This window comes from Homo sapiens, chromosome 12 (genome assembly GCF_000001405.40).
Source record: "Homo sapiens chromosome 12, GRCh38.p14 Primary Assembly".
NCBI classification, from domain to species: domain Eukaryota; kingdom Metazoa; phylum Chordata; class Mammalia; order Primates; family Hominidae; genus Homo; species Homo sapiens.
Window position 1 is genome coordinate 9,669,004 of NC_000012.12, and position 16,676 is coordinate 9,685,679.

At 37.4% G+C, this 16,676-nt stretch overlaps 1 protein-coding gene across 6 annotated transcripts in view, besides 1 other annotated feature; it reads left to right on the top strand.

Annotated features, from left to right (window-relative positions):
- Positions 1-709: 709 nt before the first annotated feature.
- CLEC2D (C-type lectin domain family 2 member D) overlaps positions 710-16,676 on the top strand; it is a 29,841-nt gene continuing 13,874 nt past the window's right edge. For 4 of the 6 annotated variants that reach the window (NR_036693.3, NM_001004419.5, NM_013269.6 and 1 more), the window contains exons 1-2: positions 710-792; positions 11,920-12,030. Coding sequence is in view for 5 of the 6 variants with exons in the window: in NM_001004419.5 (NP_001004419.1) it covers positions 732-792; positions 11,920-12,030 (172 nt within the window). In the remaining variant the exon portion in view is untranslated. The remainder of the gene's footprint in view (positions 793-11,919; positions 12,031-16,676) is intronic. The other 2 variants (NM_001197317.3, NM_001197319.3) reach the window with 1 other exon arrangement.
- Positions 4,329-4,588: an enhancer, noted in NCBI's record as "active region_5947". NCBI's record gives its function as "activates an Ori minimal core promoter by ATAC-STARR-seq in GM12878 lymphoblastoid cells {active_cell/tissue: GM12878}" and the evidence as "EXISTENCE:reporter gene assay evidence [ECO:0000049][PMID:35858748]".

Sequence of the window (16,676 nt, forward strand, 5' to 3'; positions counted from 1 at the left end):
GATTTGTGCACATTACTATAAATTATATTTTAGTAAAAGGTGCCCTTACTGGCATTTATATACAAGAAATCAACACATCTGACAAGAAGCTCTTGCTGCTAAAGAGCCTCTGTGCTCCTGGATCATGCCAGAGGGAGCACAGAAGCTGCACACCGTTCAAGCCCATTTTTGAAAAGTTGTTGTAGCAGCCATAGCAGCAAATTCCCAAAATATCTTGAAGAAATTGAAAACAAGATATTTTTTGAATGAGCGTAAACTCTTGGGAATGAATTTTAATTTGAGATTAAAATTGCTGTTGTCTTTACTTACCTAACATTCATTTCCTCTGAGAGCCAACTCCTTCCTTTCAATAAATTCTTATTTTCTATCATAATATTGCTTTGTACCGCACAAAATACAATTATAATTTTTAATAGTCAAAGAAATTTTAAGTTATCAAACATTAGTTTCTTTCGTAACCAAAATACTGTTAGAGAAGTAGCTTCAACTTTTTAAAATTCTTACAAACACCAGTTTATTCTGTTGTGATGAGCTGATTTTTGAAACAATTTATGCTTCATTTGTTCCTCTAGCTATATTTAACTTAAAGGCTTGACATTTTGAGTTACTGGGGCGGTTACACACTTACACGTTTTAGTCGTTGGGCTTTTTTTTTGTTTTGTTTTGAATCATTCTTGGGGTTGAAAACGTAGAGACTGTGGTTTAGATCACTCATAGAAACTGGAGGCAAAATGCATGACAGTAACAATGTGGAGAAAGACATTACACCATCTGAATTGCCTGCAAACCCAGGTAAGAAGCTGGGCTCTACAGAGTAAGTGTGAGGACTGGAATGGGAAGGTAGTGGTAGTGATGGGCTCACACAGGAAAGGTGCTGATCTAGTAAAAAGTTTTCAAGGATAAGAGATGGAATGTGGGAGTCCATAAATTGGCTTATAATTTGTGTAAAACATGCATATATTTATATTCCCAGTTCTAACAACTAAGGAGAGGGAACAATGAGAGAAAGATGTAAGACAATGAGATAAGGTTAAGTTTAGGATTGAAAATAACAGTTAATTTCACTAAAAAAAAATCTATACAAACTCTAAAGTGTTACTCAGATACAAGATACCATCATTATTACATAGGTAGAAAACCTATCATGGAAGCTCTTAAGAGAGAAAAGGTAGAAAATAGTATGTAAAGGACATTTACAAATCAAAAAAGTAACAAAGGTTGAGTAGAAACTTAGTAGGGCATTCTAATGGAATTATGTTACATTGGATGCACTGGAAATATATATATATATAGCTTTATATGATGCTTTAGTAAGTGAAAAAAATGACTTTTGCCACAGTTAGGGAATATCAAGGTTTTATAACTTAGGACTTAAAAGTTTGGAGTTTTCTCCTCCCAACTTAAAAGGTAATCAATTTGGAGAAAAGGTAATTCAGAGGCAGAAAAAGATGAACTCTAAATGTTGTTAAATGACTTCATTTATTTCTTCATTCATTGGGTATTTTGAGCATTTTATACCAAATGCTTTAAACTGTTTGTCGGATAGTTCCAACATCTCTGTCATGTCCTCCTTGGCTTGTGTTTTCTTTCCCCATGGAAGTTGACATTTTCGTGGTTCTTCATATACTGTGTAATTTTGGATTGTAATTTGAACATTTTGAACAAATATTTAGTTAGACTGGATCTTATTTAAATTTTGGAGTATATTGATACTATTGTTTTAGCAAGCAATCACCCTGGTGAGATGAAGACAATCTGTGGGATCTGGTTCCAATGTCAGTTCCATTCTGAAAGCCTTTGTAGTGCTATTCAGACATGTGCATCAACCAGGGGTGAAATTGGGAACTGTGCAATGCTCTACTCATTAGTTCAGGTCTTAGCATCTTTAGTGTGCCAATTAGAACCATATCTAGGCATGCATAAGTTGAGGGGCAGGTGAATCCAGGAGTTTATGAATAATGTTCATGGGTCTCTTTCTAAAGTTTCTTCCTCTTCACCATCTGACCCGTACTTTCAGGTTCCCAGGGGCTTCTCCTTTCCATCCTCCAGCTAGAAATGCGGGCCTCCTTTTATTCTGATGAACCATATACTTCTGCAATTATAGCTGCATCTTTAAGCTCATGTGGCAGACGGACAGTGAGAAAGAAGAAAAAAAAAGCAAGAGGTTTGGCCCCACTCTCATGGAGCTACAGCTCAACTGAATGGAAAGGATTGACTTTAGATTTCTTTTCTTTTTTTGAGGTGGAGTCTCACTCTGTCCCCCAGGCTGGAGTGCAGTGGCGCGATCTCGGCTCACTGCAAGCCCCGCCTCCTGGGTTCACGCCATTCTGCCTCAGCCTCCTGAGTAGCTGGGACTACAGGCGCCCGCCACCACGCCCGGCTACTTTTTTGTATTTTTAGTAGAGACGGGGTTTCACCGTGTTAGCCAGGATGGTCTCGATCTCCTGACTTTGTGATCCGCCCGCCTCGGCCTCCCAAACTGCTGGGATTACAGGCGTGAGCCACCGCGCCCGGCCGAGGATTAACCTTTCTCAAGGTTTTGGCTATTGCATGTTGCTGTAGTTTCCCCTACCATCATCAGATTGCCTGAGGTTTGAGGCACATGAGAATGTAGACAAGAGGGGGAGAAAAAATAAACGTGGTATTTTCACACTCTATTTGAGATAGGAGTTTGCTTTTCTGTTCCTCAGACCATACCTCTAGTGCTTCTCCTGGAGCCCTCTCTTTATGCTGACAGAGGCTCAATTCCATGTTTCTGGCTGTATTAAGTTCGGGGCAGTGATACTAGAGGAGGGAAATTTAAATTCACCACTGGTTTGATGGCTCTTTAAATTTGGATATTCTTGTAAGATCTGCTGCTAGTATATCCTTTTTCCTTTTGCTCTTTTTTGTTTTGTTTAAAGACCATATTTTTAGAGCCATTTTGGGATCACAGCAAAATTGTGAGAAAGGTAGTTTTTTTTTTCATTTTCTCCTTGTTGCCACACATATATAGACTCTGTCTTAGTCTGTTTTGTGCTGCTATTACAGAATACCCAAGACTGGGTAATTTATAATGAACAAAATCTATTGGCTCATAGTTCTGGAGGCTGGAAAGTTCAAGACTGAGAAACACATCTTGCTCCATCATCCCATGGCAAAATTTGGAAGGGCAAGAGAGCACATGCATAAGAAAGAGAGAGAGCAAGAGGCACCAAACTTGCTTTTATAACAAATCCACTTTCGTGATAGTAAACCCACTCCCATTATAAGGACATTATGACCTGATTACCTCTTAAAGGACCTGCCTCTCAACACTATTGCATTGGGGATTAAGTATCTAACACATGAACTTTGGAGACACATTCAAACCATAGCAGTCTCTAACATCAACATTCTTCACCAGCAGTACATTTATTACAATTAATAACCTACATTGGCATATTGTAGCACTCAAAATTCATAATCTGATGGACTTCCCTTTGTCAGTGACCTGACCTTTCTCCCTGGCTGCCCTTAATATTTTTTCTTCCATTTCGACCTTGGAGTATGTGTCTTGGGGTTGATCTACTCATGAAGTATCTTATTGGGGTTCTCTGGATTTCCTGAATTTGAATATTGGCCTGTCTTGCTAGGTTGGGGAAGTTCTCCTGGATTATATCCTGAAGTGTGTTTTCCAACTTGGTTCCATCCTCCCTGTCTCTTTCAGGTACTCCAGTCAGTGGTAGGTTCGGTCTTTTTACATAGTCCCATAGTTCTTGGAAGTTTTGTTCATTTCTTTTCATTCTTTTTTCTCTAATCTTGTCTGTCTGCCTTATTTCAGCAAGAGAGTCTTCAAGCTCTGATATTTTCTCTTCTGCTTGGTCAATTCAGCTATTGATACTTGTGTTTGCAACATGATGTTCTCGTGCTGTGTTTTTCAGCTCCATCAGGTCATTTATGTTCCTCTCTGAACTGGTTATTCTGGTTAACAGCTCCTGTAATCTTTTATCATGCTTCTTAGCTTCTTTGCATTGGGTTAGAACATAATGCTTTAGCTCAGCGAAATTCGTTATTACCAACTTTCTGAAGCCTACTTCTGTCAGTTTATCCATCTCAGCTTCAGCCTTGTTCTGTGCCCTCACAGGAGAACTGTTGCGATCATTTGGAGGAGAAGAGGCACTCTGGCTTTTGGAATTTTCACCGTTTTTTCATTGTTTTTTCCTCATCTTCGTGGATTTATCCACCTTTGATCTTTGAGACTGATGACCTTTGAATGGGGTTTTTGTGGAGTCTTTTTTGTAGATGTTGTTGTTGTTACTTTCTGTTTGTTTGTTTATCTTCTAACAGTCAGCCTTTCTGAGGCAAGTCTGCTGCAGTTTGCTGGGGATCCACTCCAGACCCTGTTCACGTGGGTATCACCAGTGGAGGCTGCAGAACAGCAGATTGCTGCCTGCTTCTTCCTTCAGAAGTTTTGCCCCAGAGGGGCACTGGCCTGATGCCAGCCGGAACTCTTCTGTATGAGGTGTCTGGTGACCCTTGTTGGGAAGTCTCACCCAGTCAGGAGGCATGGGATCAAGGACCCGCTTATGTAGAGAATCTGACATTCCCTTAGCAGAGCTGGTGTGCTGTGCTGGGGGAATCCCACTCATCGGGTTCATCTGGTCTCTTCAGAGCCAGCAGGCAGAAAAGATAAGTCTGCTGAACCTGAAACTGCCTCTCCCCTCAGGTTCTCTGACTCAGCGAGATGAGAGTTCTGTCTGTAAGCCCCTGACCAGAGCTGCTGGAATTCTTGCAGGGATGACCTGCCTGGTGAGGAGGGATGGCTCAGGGTCCCACCTAAAGAGGCAGTCTGGCCACAACCTGCCACAGCCAGTTTGCTGCACTGTGGGAAATCTGGCCCAGTCCAAACCTCTCAGGCTCCTTTGCACTGTCAGGGGCAAACCGCCAACTAATGGTGGTCACCCCTCCCCCCAGGAACTTAGTCATTCCAGGCACACTCCAGACTACTCTGCTGGCAGCAGGGATCTCAAGCCAGTGGGTCTTAGCTTGCAGGGATCCATGGGAGTAGAACCTACTGATTGAGACTGCTGGGCTCTCCTCCTTGGCTTCAGCCCCCTTTCCATGGGACTGGATGGTTCTCGTGCCTCACTGGAGTTCCAGGCACCACTGGAGTATGTAAAAACTCCTGCAGCTCAGTGCCTGCCTAAACAGCCACCAATGGGAGTGGCTGTCATTGGTTTGCCCAGGTTTGTGCTTGAGACCCAGGGCCCTGGTGGTGTAGGCTCATGAGGGAATCTTCTGATCTGCAGATTGCAAAAATCTGTGGGAGAAGCATAGTACACCTGGTGGGTAGGACAGACCCTCGCCACTTCCCTTACCTCAGGGAGGCAAGTCTCCCCACCCTGTGCAGCTCCTGGGTGAAATGACACCCCACCTGCTTTCTTCCTGCTTCCTGTGGGTTGCACCAGCTGCCCAATGAGATGAACTTGGTACCTCAGATGGAGATGCAGAATTCACCTGCCTTCCGCATTCATCTCACTGGGAGCTTCAGACCAGAGCTGTTTCTGTTTGGCCATTTTGGCCCCTCCCTTCAAGTATGTTTTCTTTTGTAAGAAACTGCCAAAGTGGCTGTAGCATTTCGCTTTCTTACCAGTAATGCATGAGACTTCTGGTTGCTCCACATCCTTGCTAGTATTTGATATTGTTAATGTTTTAATGTAACACTTAAGTAATATGTAATGATATCTCATTATTTTAACTTGCAATTCTCAAAAGACATATGATATTAATAATTTGTCTTTTCATTATTTTGATTATGTCTTTTGCAGGTTGAAAGTTTTTAGTTTTAATGAAGTCCAGTTTATCAGTTCTTTCTTTCATGGATTGTGCCTTTGGTATTATATTTAAAAAGTCATCACCATACCCAAAGTTATCTAGGCTTTCTCTTATATTATCTTCTACGAGTTTTACAGTTTTGTGTTTTACCTTTAGGACTATGATACATTTTGAGTCATTTTGGGGAAAAATGTAAAATCTGGGCCTAGATTCATTTATTTGTATGTGGGTGTCTAGTTATTCAGCATCGTTAGTTGAAAAGACTGTCTTTTCTTAATTGTATTGCTTTGCTTGTTTATGAAAGATCAGTTGACTATATTTATCTGGGTCTATTTCTTTTTAGTCTGCTACTCTGCTTTCTATCCTTTTTCATTAATTTATTTGTCTATTCCTTTTTTTTTTTTTTTTTTAAGAGACGGAGTCTCACTCTCTTGCCCAGGCCGGAGTGCAGTGGCGCAATCTCGGCTCACTGCAAGCTCCGCCTCCTGGGTTCACCCACCATTCTCCTGCCTCAGCCTCCTGAGTAGCTGGGACTACAGACACCTGCCACCACGCCCGGCTAATTTTTGTATTTTTAGTAGAGACGGGGTTTCACCGTGTTAGCCAGGATGGTATAGATCTCCTGACCTCATGATCCACCTGCCTTGGCCTCCCAAAGTGCTAGGATTACAGGCGTGAGCCACCGCGCCCAGCCTTATTTGTCTGTTCTTTAACAAATACCACACTGTCTTGATTACTGTAGTTTTAGAGTAAATCATGAAGTCAGGTAGTATCAGTTGTTTAACTTTGCTCATCTCCTTCAATAATGTGTTTGCTTTTCTGGGTCTTTTGCCTATCTATATAAACTTTAGAATCAGTTTGTTGATATTTATACAATAACTTGCTGAGATTATTATTATCATTGCATTTAATCTGTAGATTAAGCTGGGAAGAATTGATATCTTGGCAATGTTGAGTCTTTCTCTCCATGAACATAAAATACTTCTCCATTTATTTAGTTCTTCATTGATTTCATTCATCAGTTTGTAGTTTTCCACATATAGATTTTGTATATATTTTGTTAGATTTATACCTAAGTATTTTATTTTTTGAATGATAATGTATATGGCACTGTGTTCTCAATTAAAAGTCCATTTGTTTATTTCTGGCATATAGAAAAGTGATTGACTTTTGTGTATTAGCCATGCATTCTGCAACCTTACATATCAGTAACCTTGCATGTCAGTTCCCAAAATTGTCAATTATTTTGGATTTTCTACATAGATGATTATGTCATCTGCAGAGAAATACAGTTTTATTTCTTACTTTCTCATCTGTATACCTTTTATTTCCTTTATTTCCTTTTCTTGTCTTACTGCATTATCTGGTACTTCCAGAACAATGTTGTAAAGTATTGGCGAGAGGGACATCTTTGCCTTGTCCTTGATCTTAGTGGGAAAACTTCAAGTTTCTCACCATACTTGAGGATGTTAGCTGTAGGTTATTGTAGATATTCTTTATTAAGGTGAAGAAGTTCTTCCCTATTTCTAGTTTACTGGGAGTTTTTGTCACAAATCTGTGTTGAATTTTGTTTACTGAAAGTTATCACAAATGGGCGTTGAATTTTGTTAATTTTTTTGTATATATTGATATAATCAAGTGATTTTTTTTAGCTTGTTAATGTTATGGATAACATTAATTGATTTTTGAATGTTGAACCTGCCTTAAATAGCTGAAATAAATTTAACTTCATCACAGTATATAATTCTTTTTATACATCATTGGATTGGATTTGCTGATGTTTTGTTAAGGTTTTGCATCTATGTTCATGAGGTATATTGGTCCATAGTTTTCTTTTCTTGTGATGTCTTAATCTGATTTTCCTATTAGGATAAAGCTGGCCTCATAGAATGAGTTAAGAAGTATTCTCTCGGCTCTAACTTCTAAAACAAATTATAGACAATTGGTATAATTTTTTCCTTAAATATTTGGTTGAATTCACCAGTGAGTCCATCTTGACATGGTGCTTTCTGTTTTGGAAGGTCAACTTCTGTAATAAATGTAAACATATTTAGGTCATCTATTTCTCCATGTATGAGTTTAGACAAATTATGTCTCTCAAGTGATTGATCCTCTGTGTGGACATAGAACTGTCCATTTTAGCATCCATGGGATCTGTAGTAACAACTCCTTATTTATTTCTGATATAGATAATTTGTGTCCTTCCTCTTTTCTTCTTAATTAGCCTGGCTAGAGCCTTATCCATTTTTTTTTTTTTAATCTTTCAAACCTAGTTTTTGGTTTTGATAACTTTTTTCTATCAGTGTCCCATTTTTTATTTCTGCTCTAATTATTTCTTTTCTTCTGTTTAATTTGTACCTGATTTGCTCTTCTATTTCTAGTTTCCTAAGGTGTAAACTTAGATCATTAATTTTAGATCTTTATTTTTTTCTAATAGATGCATTCAATACTATCAATTTCTCTTTAAACAATGCTTTTACTGCATCCCACAAATTTTGTTAAGCTGTATTTTCATTTTCATTTAGTTGAAGTATTTTAAAACTTCTATTGTGATTTCTTCCTTGACCCATATGTTGTTTAGAAACGTATTGTTTAATCTCCACATGTTTGTGGAGATTAGTGGGATTTTAAAATTTTCTTTCTGTTATTGACTCTAGTTTATTTACATTGTGGTCTGAGAGCAGACGCTGTATGATTTCTATTTTGTTAAATTTGTTAGGATATGTTTTGGCCCAGAAGGTGGTCTATTATGGTGATTATTCCATGTAATCTTGAGAGTGTGTATTCTGCTGTTGTTTGACAAAGTAGTCTATAGATGTCAATTATATTCGGTTAATTGATGATGTTGCTGAGTTCACCTAAGTTCTACTGATTTTCTGCCTGCTGGATCTGGGCATTTCTTTCTTTCTTTTTTTTTTTTTTTTTTTTTATTTTGTTGTTTTTGAGACAGAGTCTCGCTCTGTCACCCAGACTGGAGTGCAGTAATGCAATCTCATCTCATTTCAACCACTGCTTCCCGAGTTCAAGCAATCCTCCCACCTCAGTCTCCTGAGTAGCTGGGAATACCGGCAAATACCACCACACTTGGCTCATTTTTGTCTTTTTGTAGAGACAGATTTTACCACATTGCTCAGGTTGGTCTTGAACTCCTGAGATCAAATAATCCAGCCTTTTGGGCCTCCCAAAGTGCTGAGATTACAGTCATGAGCCAATATACCCTGCTGGATCTGTGCATTTCCAATAGAGTGTTGTTGAAATCTCCAACTATGATAATGAATTCATCGATTTCTCCTTGCAGTTCTGTTAATTTTTGCCTCACGTAGTTAAATACTCTCTTGTTAGGTGCGTGCACATTTAGGTTTGTTATGCGGAAACATAACATAGTTTCTTGGAAAGCTAATTCTTATACCATTATGCAATGCTTTTCTTCATTCCTGATAAATTTCCTTGCTTTGAGGTTTGTTCTGTTTGAAATTTGTATAGCTTCTCCTGCTTTCTTTTGTTTGTGCCAGTATGATATAATACATATATATATTCATGATCCATTTACTTTTAATTTGTGTGTCTTTATATTTAAAGTGCATTTCCTGCAGACATCATATAGTTTAATCTCTGATTTTTAATTGGTGCATTTAGATCATTGATATTAAAATGATTATTAATATAGGTGGATTAAATATCTACCATATTTCTTTCTGTTTTCTATTTGTTGCCTTTGTTCTTTGTTTCTATTTTTGTTTTTCATTCTCTTCTTTTCAGAGACTGAGTCTCATTCTGTTCATTAGGCTAGAGTGTGGTGGTATAATCATAGCTCCCTGTACCCTTGAAATCCTAGGCTCAAGTGATTCTCCTACCTGAGCCCTGAGTACCTGGTATTACGGGCATGTGCCACAAAGCCTGGCTAATTTTTATTTAATTTTTGTAGCGACAGAGTCTTTGCTACGTTGCCCAGGCTGGTCTTGAACTTCTGGCCTCAAATGATCCTCCTGCCTCAGTGTCTCAAAGGGTTGGGATTATAAGTGTAAGCTACAACACCCAGCCATGTCTTCCATTTTTTTCCTGCATTTTTAGTTTTTAACTTAGCATTTATAAAGTTCCATATTTTCTCATTCTTAGTATATCAATTATACTTTAAAAATGTGATTTTAGTGGTTACCCTAGTGTTTGCAATATACACTCACAACTAACATAAGTTTGCTTTCAAATAATACTATACCATTTCACAGGTACTGTGAGTACCTTATAATAAAAAAATCTAATTCTCTGCTTTTATCCCATGTGTCATTTCTGTTATTTATTTTATTTACATGTAAGAATACATAAGCATATAAATATATATAAAAGATGTATACATAAGCACACATAATTAAATATATTGCTACTATTGTTATTTTGAACAAACTGCCATTTGTTAGATCAATTAAGAATAAGAAAAATAGTTTTATTTTACCTTCACTTATTTTTTATATTGTTCCTTTTTCATATAATTTAGGTTTCTAACCTGTATAATTCTCTTTCCTTTTAAAATAATTGCATTTAACTTTTTTGTTTTTTGATATAAGACAAGTCTACTGGCAACAAGTTATCTCAATGTTTCTCCAAAATAGTGGTTGTTTCTCATTCACTTTGAAGAATTTTTTTGGCTAAAGAATTCTAAGTTGATAAGGTTTTTTCTCTTAATACTTTAAATATTTGTTTCCACTGTCTTCTTGCTTGCATGGTTTTTGAGAAGAATGTAAATGTCATTTTTATCTTTGTTTCTCTACATGTAGAATTTATTTTCCTCTGGATTCTCTTATGATTTCTTAAATCTTTGATAAAGGGGGTACAGGGGCATATGTGAACTCTATATTTTTAATTCAGTATTTCTGTCAACTTAAACTGATAAAAACTAAAATCTATTGATTAAGACAAATATCTTGGGAAACATCAATGTAAAGCTTGCTGATCTCTCTAGTGTTGGGGGGAATGTTGGAGAAAAATATGCCTATTTAGCTAAGGACAAACCTAGATAAATTAACTAGAGGTGTGAATTGTATGCAAGAGATTGTGTCAGAACAGGGTTCCAATAATGAACTTCATAAGAGGTTTTAGATAACCTAAGACATTTTGAAATATAACACAACTACAGGAAATTATACAATACAAATATGTAGCTTGATTAATTATTATAAGATAAACACCTTTGTTGACTCCTGATATGGCCTAGCTGTGTCTTTACCCAAATCTCATCTTGAATTGTAGTTCTCATAATCCCCACTTGTCATGGGAGGGACCCAGTGGGAGATAACTGAATCATGGAGTTGGTTACCCTCGTGCTGTTCTTGTGATAGCGAGTGAGTTTTCATGATATCTGATGGTTTTATAAGGGGCTTTTACCCCTTTGTTAGGCACTTCTGTCTCCTGCTGCCATGTGAAGAAGAACACGTTTGCTTCCTCTTCCACCATTATTGTAAGTTTCCTGAGGCCTCCCCAGCCATGTAGAATTGTGAGTCAGTTAAACTTCTTTCCTTTTTAAATTATCCAGTCTTGGGCAGTTCTTCATAGCAGTGAGGATGGACTAATACAACTGCTAACATTGTCTAAGAAAGATCCTTGTTATGTGGCTCAGAGGCCCTCCATGTATTCTTAACTATTCACTCTCCTATCCTTCCAAGAATAACACTAATTTGACCTCTACAATAATCACTTTATCACTCCAGTTTTGCCTTTTTTCCTCCAAAACAATGCCTTTTAAGTCTATTTTAATCGATAGATTTCCTCTTAATATCATTTAAAAATATTTCTTTACATTTTTAGACAGGAATCAGAATAATTTGCTATGTTGAATTTCCAGTTACTTGGATTTTGTTGATTTCATTCCTGTGGTTTAGTTGACATGAATCTCTCCAATTGAAAGGGTAACTTGAATATGGTAGCTGGAAAGTTAAAATCAATTCTTTTAACTTTGGAAAATGATTAAATTCTGGAGATAGAATAGTAAGTTCATAAGATGACAGGTCATTTGCATCCTCTAGTGAAAAGCGAAGGAATTAAATAAAAATAACATTTTGATGCTTAATGTTTCTGGCAGTATTATGTCTGTATTTAATTGTTAAAATGTTTTTCAATAATTTTTTCCAGGTTGTCTGCATTCAAAAGAGCATTCTATTAAAGCTACCTTAATTTGGCGCTTATTTTTCTTAATCATGTTTCTGACAATCATAGTGTGTGGAATGGTTGCTGCTTTAAGCGGTAAGTGAACTGTAATCTTTATTCATCTAGAGAGAATTATACTTGTAAAAAGAAGAGGAAGAATCTGAATAATTTTGTTATTCTTTACAGCTTTTAATATATTGTCTCACTAACTGAGTTACACTCCAATAACTTTTTAAGTGGCACCAAAAATTTTAATTATGTAAATAGGGTTCACATTATTCCAAGTTTAGTGAGATGATCAGAGTCTTCAGAAGGTAGAAGACAGACCACTATTCCTTAAGAATATTGATGCAAAAATTAAAAAAAATAGTAAACTGAAAAATAGTCTCTTGTCCGATCTAGGAACATGGTTAATTTTACCTCCACAACAACCTTGTTTCATGAAAAATAGCAAAACAGATGGTTTAAAGTACACAAAACTACTAAGTGGCTGTATAACATCACAGGCAGCCTGTTCTTTCTTCCTAGCTATTTGAGCATGTTCTGGCCCTTGTTTTTTTTAGCATATGTAGCCCATCTTCCTAGAAAACAAACTCCGTTTAGTGATTGTACCCTAAAAGCAATTAGCTATAAAAATTATCTTGTACTTCAAAACATGCTTGCAGTGCATCTAATATAGACCAAGCGAAGACATAGAAAACTACAAAAGCACTTCCCCCAAACCTCATGCCAATCTGGATATCAACCTAAAATCTACCCCCTGTTACTACATTCTGAAGTAATTTCAGAGAGACCCTTCAAATACTGCTTACGTAACTTAAGAGTCAGCAATACTTGGAGCACTCCATATAACACTCTAAATAATTTCTATTCATTTGCAAATCTTTTGCTTATTATCTTTTGGCATTTTGAAACCACAGATAATATACTTTATACATTTATGAAGCAAAAATAATTTTTTTATTTCAGAGATTTAAGTCAACTAATTGTAACTATTTAAGAAAGAAAAAATTGGAAAGAGACAATTTCTGTACTCTGTAAGTACCTCAGTATTAATCAAGGGAATGTATTCTGAAATATAATTTAAATTTATAGCTCTTTTTTTTACAGTAAGCATATGAAATTGACACTTATGACTGTTTTCCTTTATTATCCATTATGTGTTTCTCTTCCTTTCAGCTAGCACTTTGGAAATGATTTCTTGTGTGGAGCCAATAGCTGGAGCCATCTTCTAATCTGGTCATTTTCTTTCTTTCTTTTTTTAAATGTGTTATTATGTATTACTTTATATCATTTTTATGTTTTATTTAACATTTAGATTGTTAGTTAACTATTCAAGTGTGGTATTTCCCCATTTAAATCGAGTTATTTAGATTGGCTTTAGTTATAAAAATTCCTAATAGAGCTTTGTAGTTATAGCTCTGGTCCCTAACTTTTTTTTTAAATTATACTTTAAGTTCTGGGATAAATGTGCAGAACCCGCAGGTTCGTTACATAGGTATACACGTGCCATGGTGGTTTGATGCACCTATCAACCCATCATCTATATTAGGTATTTCTCCTAATGCTATCCCTCCCGTTGCCCCCCAACCCTCAACACGCCTCAGTGTGTGATGTTCCGCTCCCTGCATCCATGTGTTCTCATTGTTCAGCTCCCACATATGAGTGAGAACCTGCAGTATTTGGTTTTCTGTTCCTGTGTTAGTTTGATGAGAATGATGGTTTCCAGTTTCATTTGTCTCCCTGCAAAGAATATGAACTCATTCTTCTTTATGGCTGTATAGTATTCCATGGTGTATATGTGCCACATTTTCTTTATCCAGTCTATCATTGATGAGCATTTGGGTTGGTTCCAAGTCTTTGCTATTGTGAATAGTGCCACAATAAACATACGAGTGCATGTGTCTTTATAGTAGAATGATTTATAATCCTTTGGGTATAGACCCAGTATTTCTGGTTATAGATCCTTGAGGAATTGCCACACTGTATTTTCCAAAATGGTTGAACTAATTTACACTCCCACCAACAGTGTAAAAGTGTTCCTATTTCTCTACATCCTCTTCAGCGTCTGTTGTTTCCTGACTTTTTAATGATTGTCATTGTAACTGGCATGAGATGGTATCTCATTGTTGTTTTGATTTGAATTTCTCTAATGATCAGTTATGATGAGCTTTTTATCATATATTTGTTGGCCACATAAATGTCTTCTTTTGTGAAGTGTCTGTTCATATCTTTTGCCCATTTTTTGATAGGGTTTTTTGTTTTATTCTTGTAAATTTTTTTAAGTTCCTTGTAGATTCTAGATATTAGCTGTTTGTCAAACGGATAGATTGCAAAATTTGTCTCCCATTCTGTAGGTTGCCTGTTCACTCTGATGATAGTTTGTTTTTTGTGTTTGTTTTTTTTTTTTTTTTTTTGTGCAGAAGCTCTTTAGTTAAATTAGATCCCGCTTGTCAATTTTTGCTTTTGTTGCAATTGCTTTTGGTGTTTTAATCATAAAACCTTTGCCCATGCCTGTGTCCTGAATGGTATTGCCTAGGTTTTGTTCTCAGGTTTTTATGGTTTTAGGTCTTATGTTTAAGTCTTTAATCCATCTTGAGCTAATTTTTGTGTAAGGTGTAAGGAAGGGGTCCAGCTTCAGTTTTCTGCATATGGCTAGCCAGTTTTCTCAACACCATTTATTAAATAGGGAATCCTTTCCCCCATTGCTTGTTTTTGTCAGGTTTGTCAAAGATCAGATGGTTGTAGATGTTGGGTGTTATTTCTGAGGCCTCTGTTCTGTCCATTGGTCAATATATCTGTTTTGGTACCAACACCATGCTGTTTTGGTTACTGTAGCCTTATAGTTTAATTTGAAGTCAGGTAGCATGATGCCTCCAGCTTAGTTCTTTTTGCTTAGGATTGTCTTGGCTATACAGGCTCTTTTTTGGTTCCATATGAAATTTAAAGTTTTTTTTTTTTTAATTCTGTGAAGAAAGTCAATGGTAGCTTGATGGGAATAGCATTCAATCTATAAATTACTTTGAGCTATATGACTATTTTCATAATATTGATTCTTCCTATCTATGAGCATGGAATGATTTTCCATTTGTTTGTGTCATCTCTTATTTCCTTGAGCAGTGATTTGTAGTTCTCCTTGAAGAGGTCCTTCACATCTCTTGTAAGTTGTATTCTTAGGTATTTTATTCTCTTAGTAGCAATTGTGAATGGGAGTTCACTCATGATTTGGCTCTCTGTTTGTCTGTTATTGGTGTATAGGAATGCTTGTGATTTTTGCACATTGATTTCGTATCCTGAGAATTTGCTGAAGTTGCTTATCAGCTTAATAAGTTTTAAGGGGATGAGACAATGGGGTTTTCTAAATATACAATTCTGTCATCTGCAAACAGAGATAATTTGACTTCCTCTCTTCCTGTTGAATACACTTTCTTTCTTTCTTTCTTTTACCTGATTGCCCTGACTAGAACTTCCAATACTATATTGAATAGGAGTGGTGAGAGAGGGCATCCTTGCCTTGTGCCAGTTTACAAAGGGAATGCTTCCAGCTTTTGGCCACTCAGTATGATATTCGCTATGAGTTTGTCATAAATAGCTTTTATTATTTTAATGTATGTTCCATCAATACCTAGTCTATTGTGTGTTTTTATCATGAAGGGGTGTTCAATTTTATCAAAGGCCTTTTCTGCATCTGTTGAGATCATCATGTGGTTTTTGTCATTGGTTCTGCTTATGTAATGGATTACATTTATTAATTTACATATATTGAACCAGACTTTCATCCCAGGGATGAAACTGACTTGATCGTGGTGGATAAGCTTTTGATGTGCTGCTGGATTCGGCTGGCCAGTATTTTATTGAGGATTTTTGCATTGATGTTCATCAGGAATATTGGCCTGAAATTTTCTTTTTTGTTGTATCTCTGCTAGGTTTTGGTATCAGGATGATGCTGGTCTCATATAATGAGTTAGGGAGAATTCCTTCTTTTTCTATTGTTTGGAATAATTTCAGAAGGAATGGTACCAGCTCCTCTTCGTACCTCTGGTAGAATTCGGCAGTGCATTTGTCTGGACATGGGCTTGTTTTGGTTGGGTAGGCTATTAATTACTGCCTCAGTTTCAGAACCTGTTATTGGTCTATTCAGGAATCTGATTTCTTCCTGGTTTAGTCTTGGGAGGGTGTATGTGTCCAGGAATTTATCCATTTCTTCCTTGCCTGGGTATCACCAGCAAAGGCTGAAGAAAAGCAAAGATTGCTGCCTGCTCCTTCCTCTGGAAGCTTCATCCCAGAGGGGCACGCACCAGATGCCAGCTGAGCTGTCCTGTATGAGGTGCCTATCAACCCCTGCTAGGAGTTGTCTCCCAGTCAGGAGGCATGGGGGTCAGGGACCCACTTGAAAAGGCAGTCTTTCCCTCAGAAGAGCTCGAGCACTGTGCTGGGAGATCCACTGCTCTTTTCAGAGCTGGCTGGCAGGAATGTTTAAGTCTCCTGAAGCCGTGACCACAGCCACCCTTTCCCCCAGGTGCTCTGTCCCAGGGAGATAAGAGTTTTATCTATAAGCCCCTGACTGGGGCTGCTGCCTTTCTTTCAGAGATGCCCTGCCCAGAGAGGAGGAATCTAGAGAGGCAGTCCGGCTGCAGTGGCTTTGCTGCACTGGCTTTGCTGCACTGTGGTGGGCTCCGCCCAGTCCGAACTTCCCCCAGGGCTTTGTTTACACTGTGAGGGGAAAATCACCTACTCAAGCC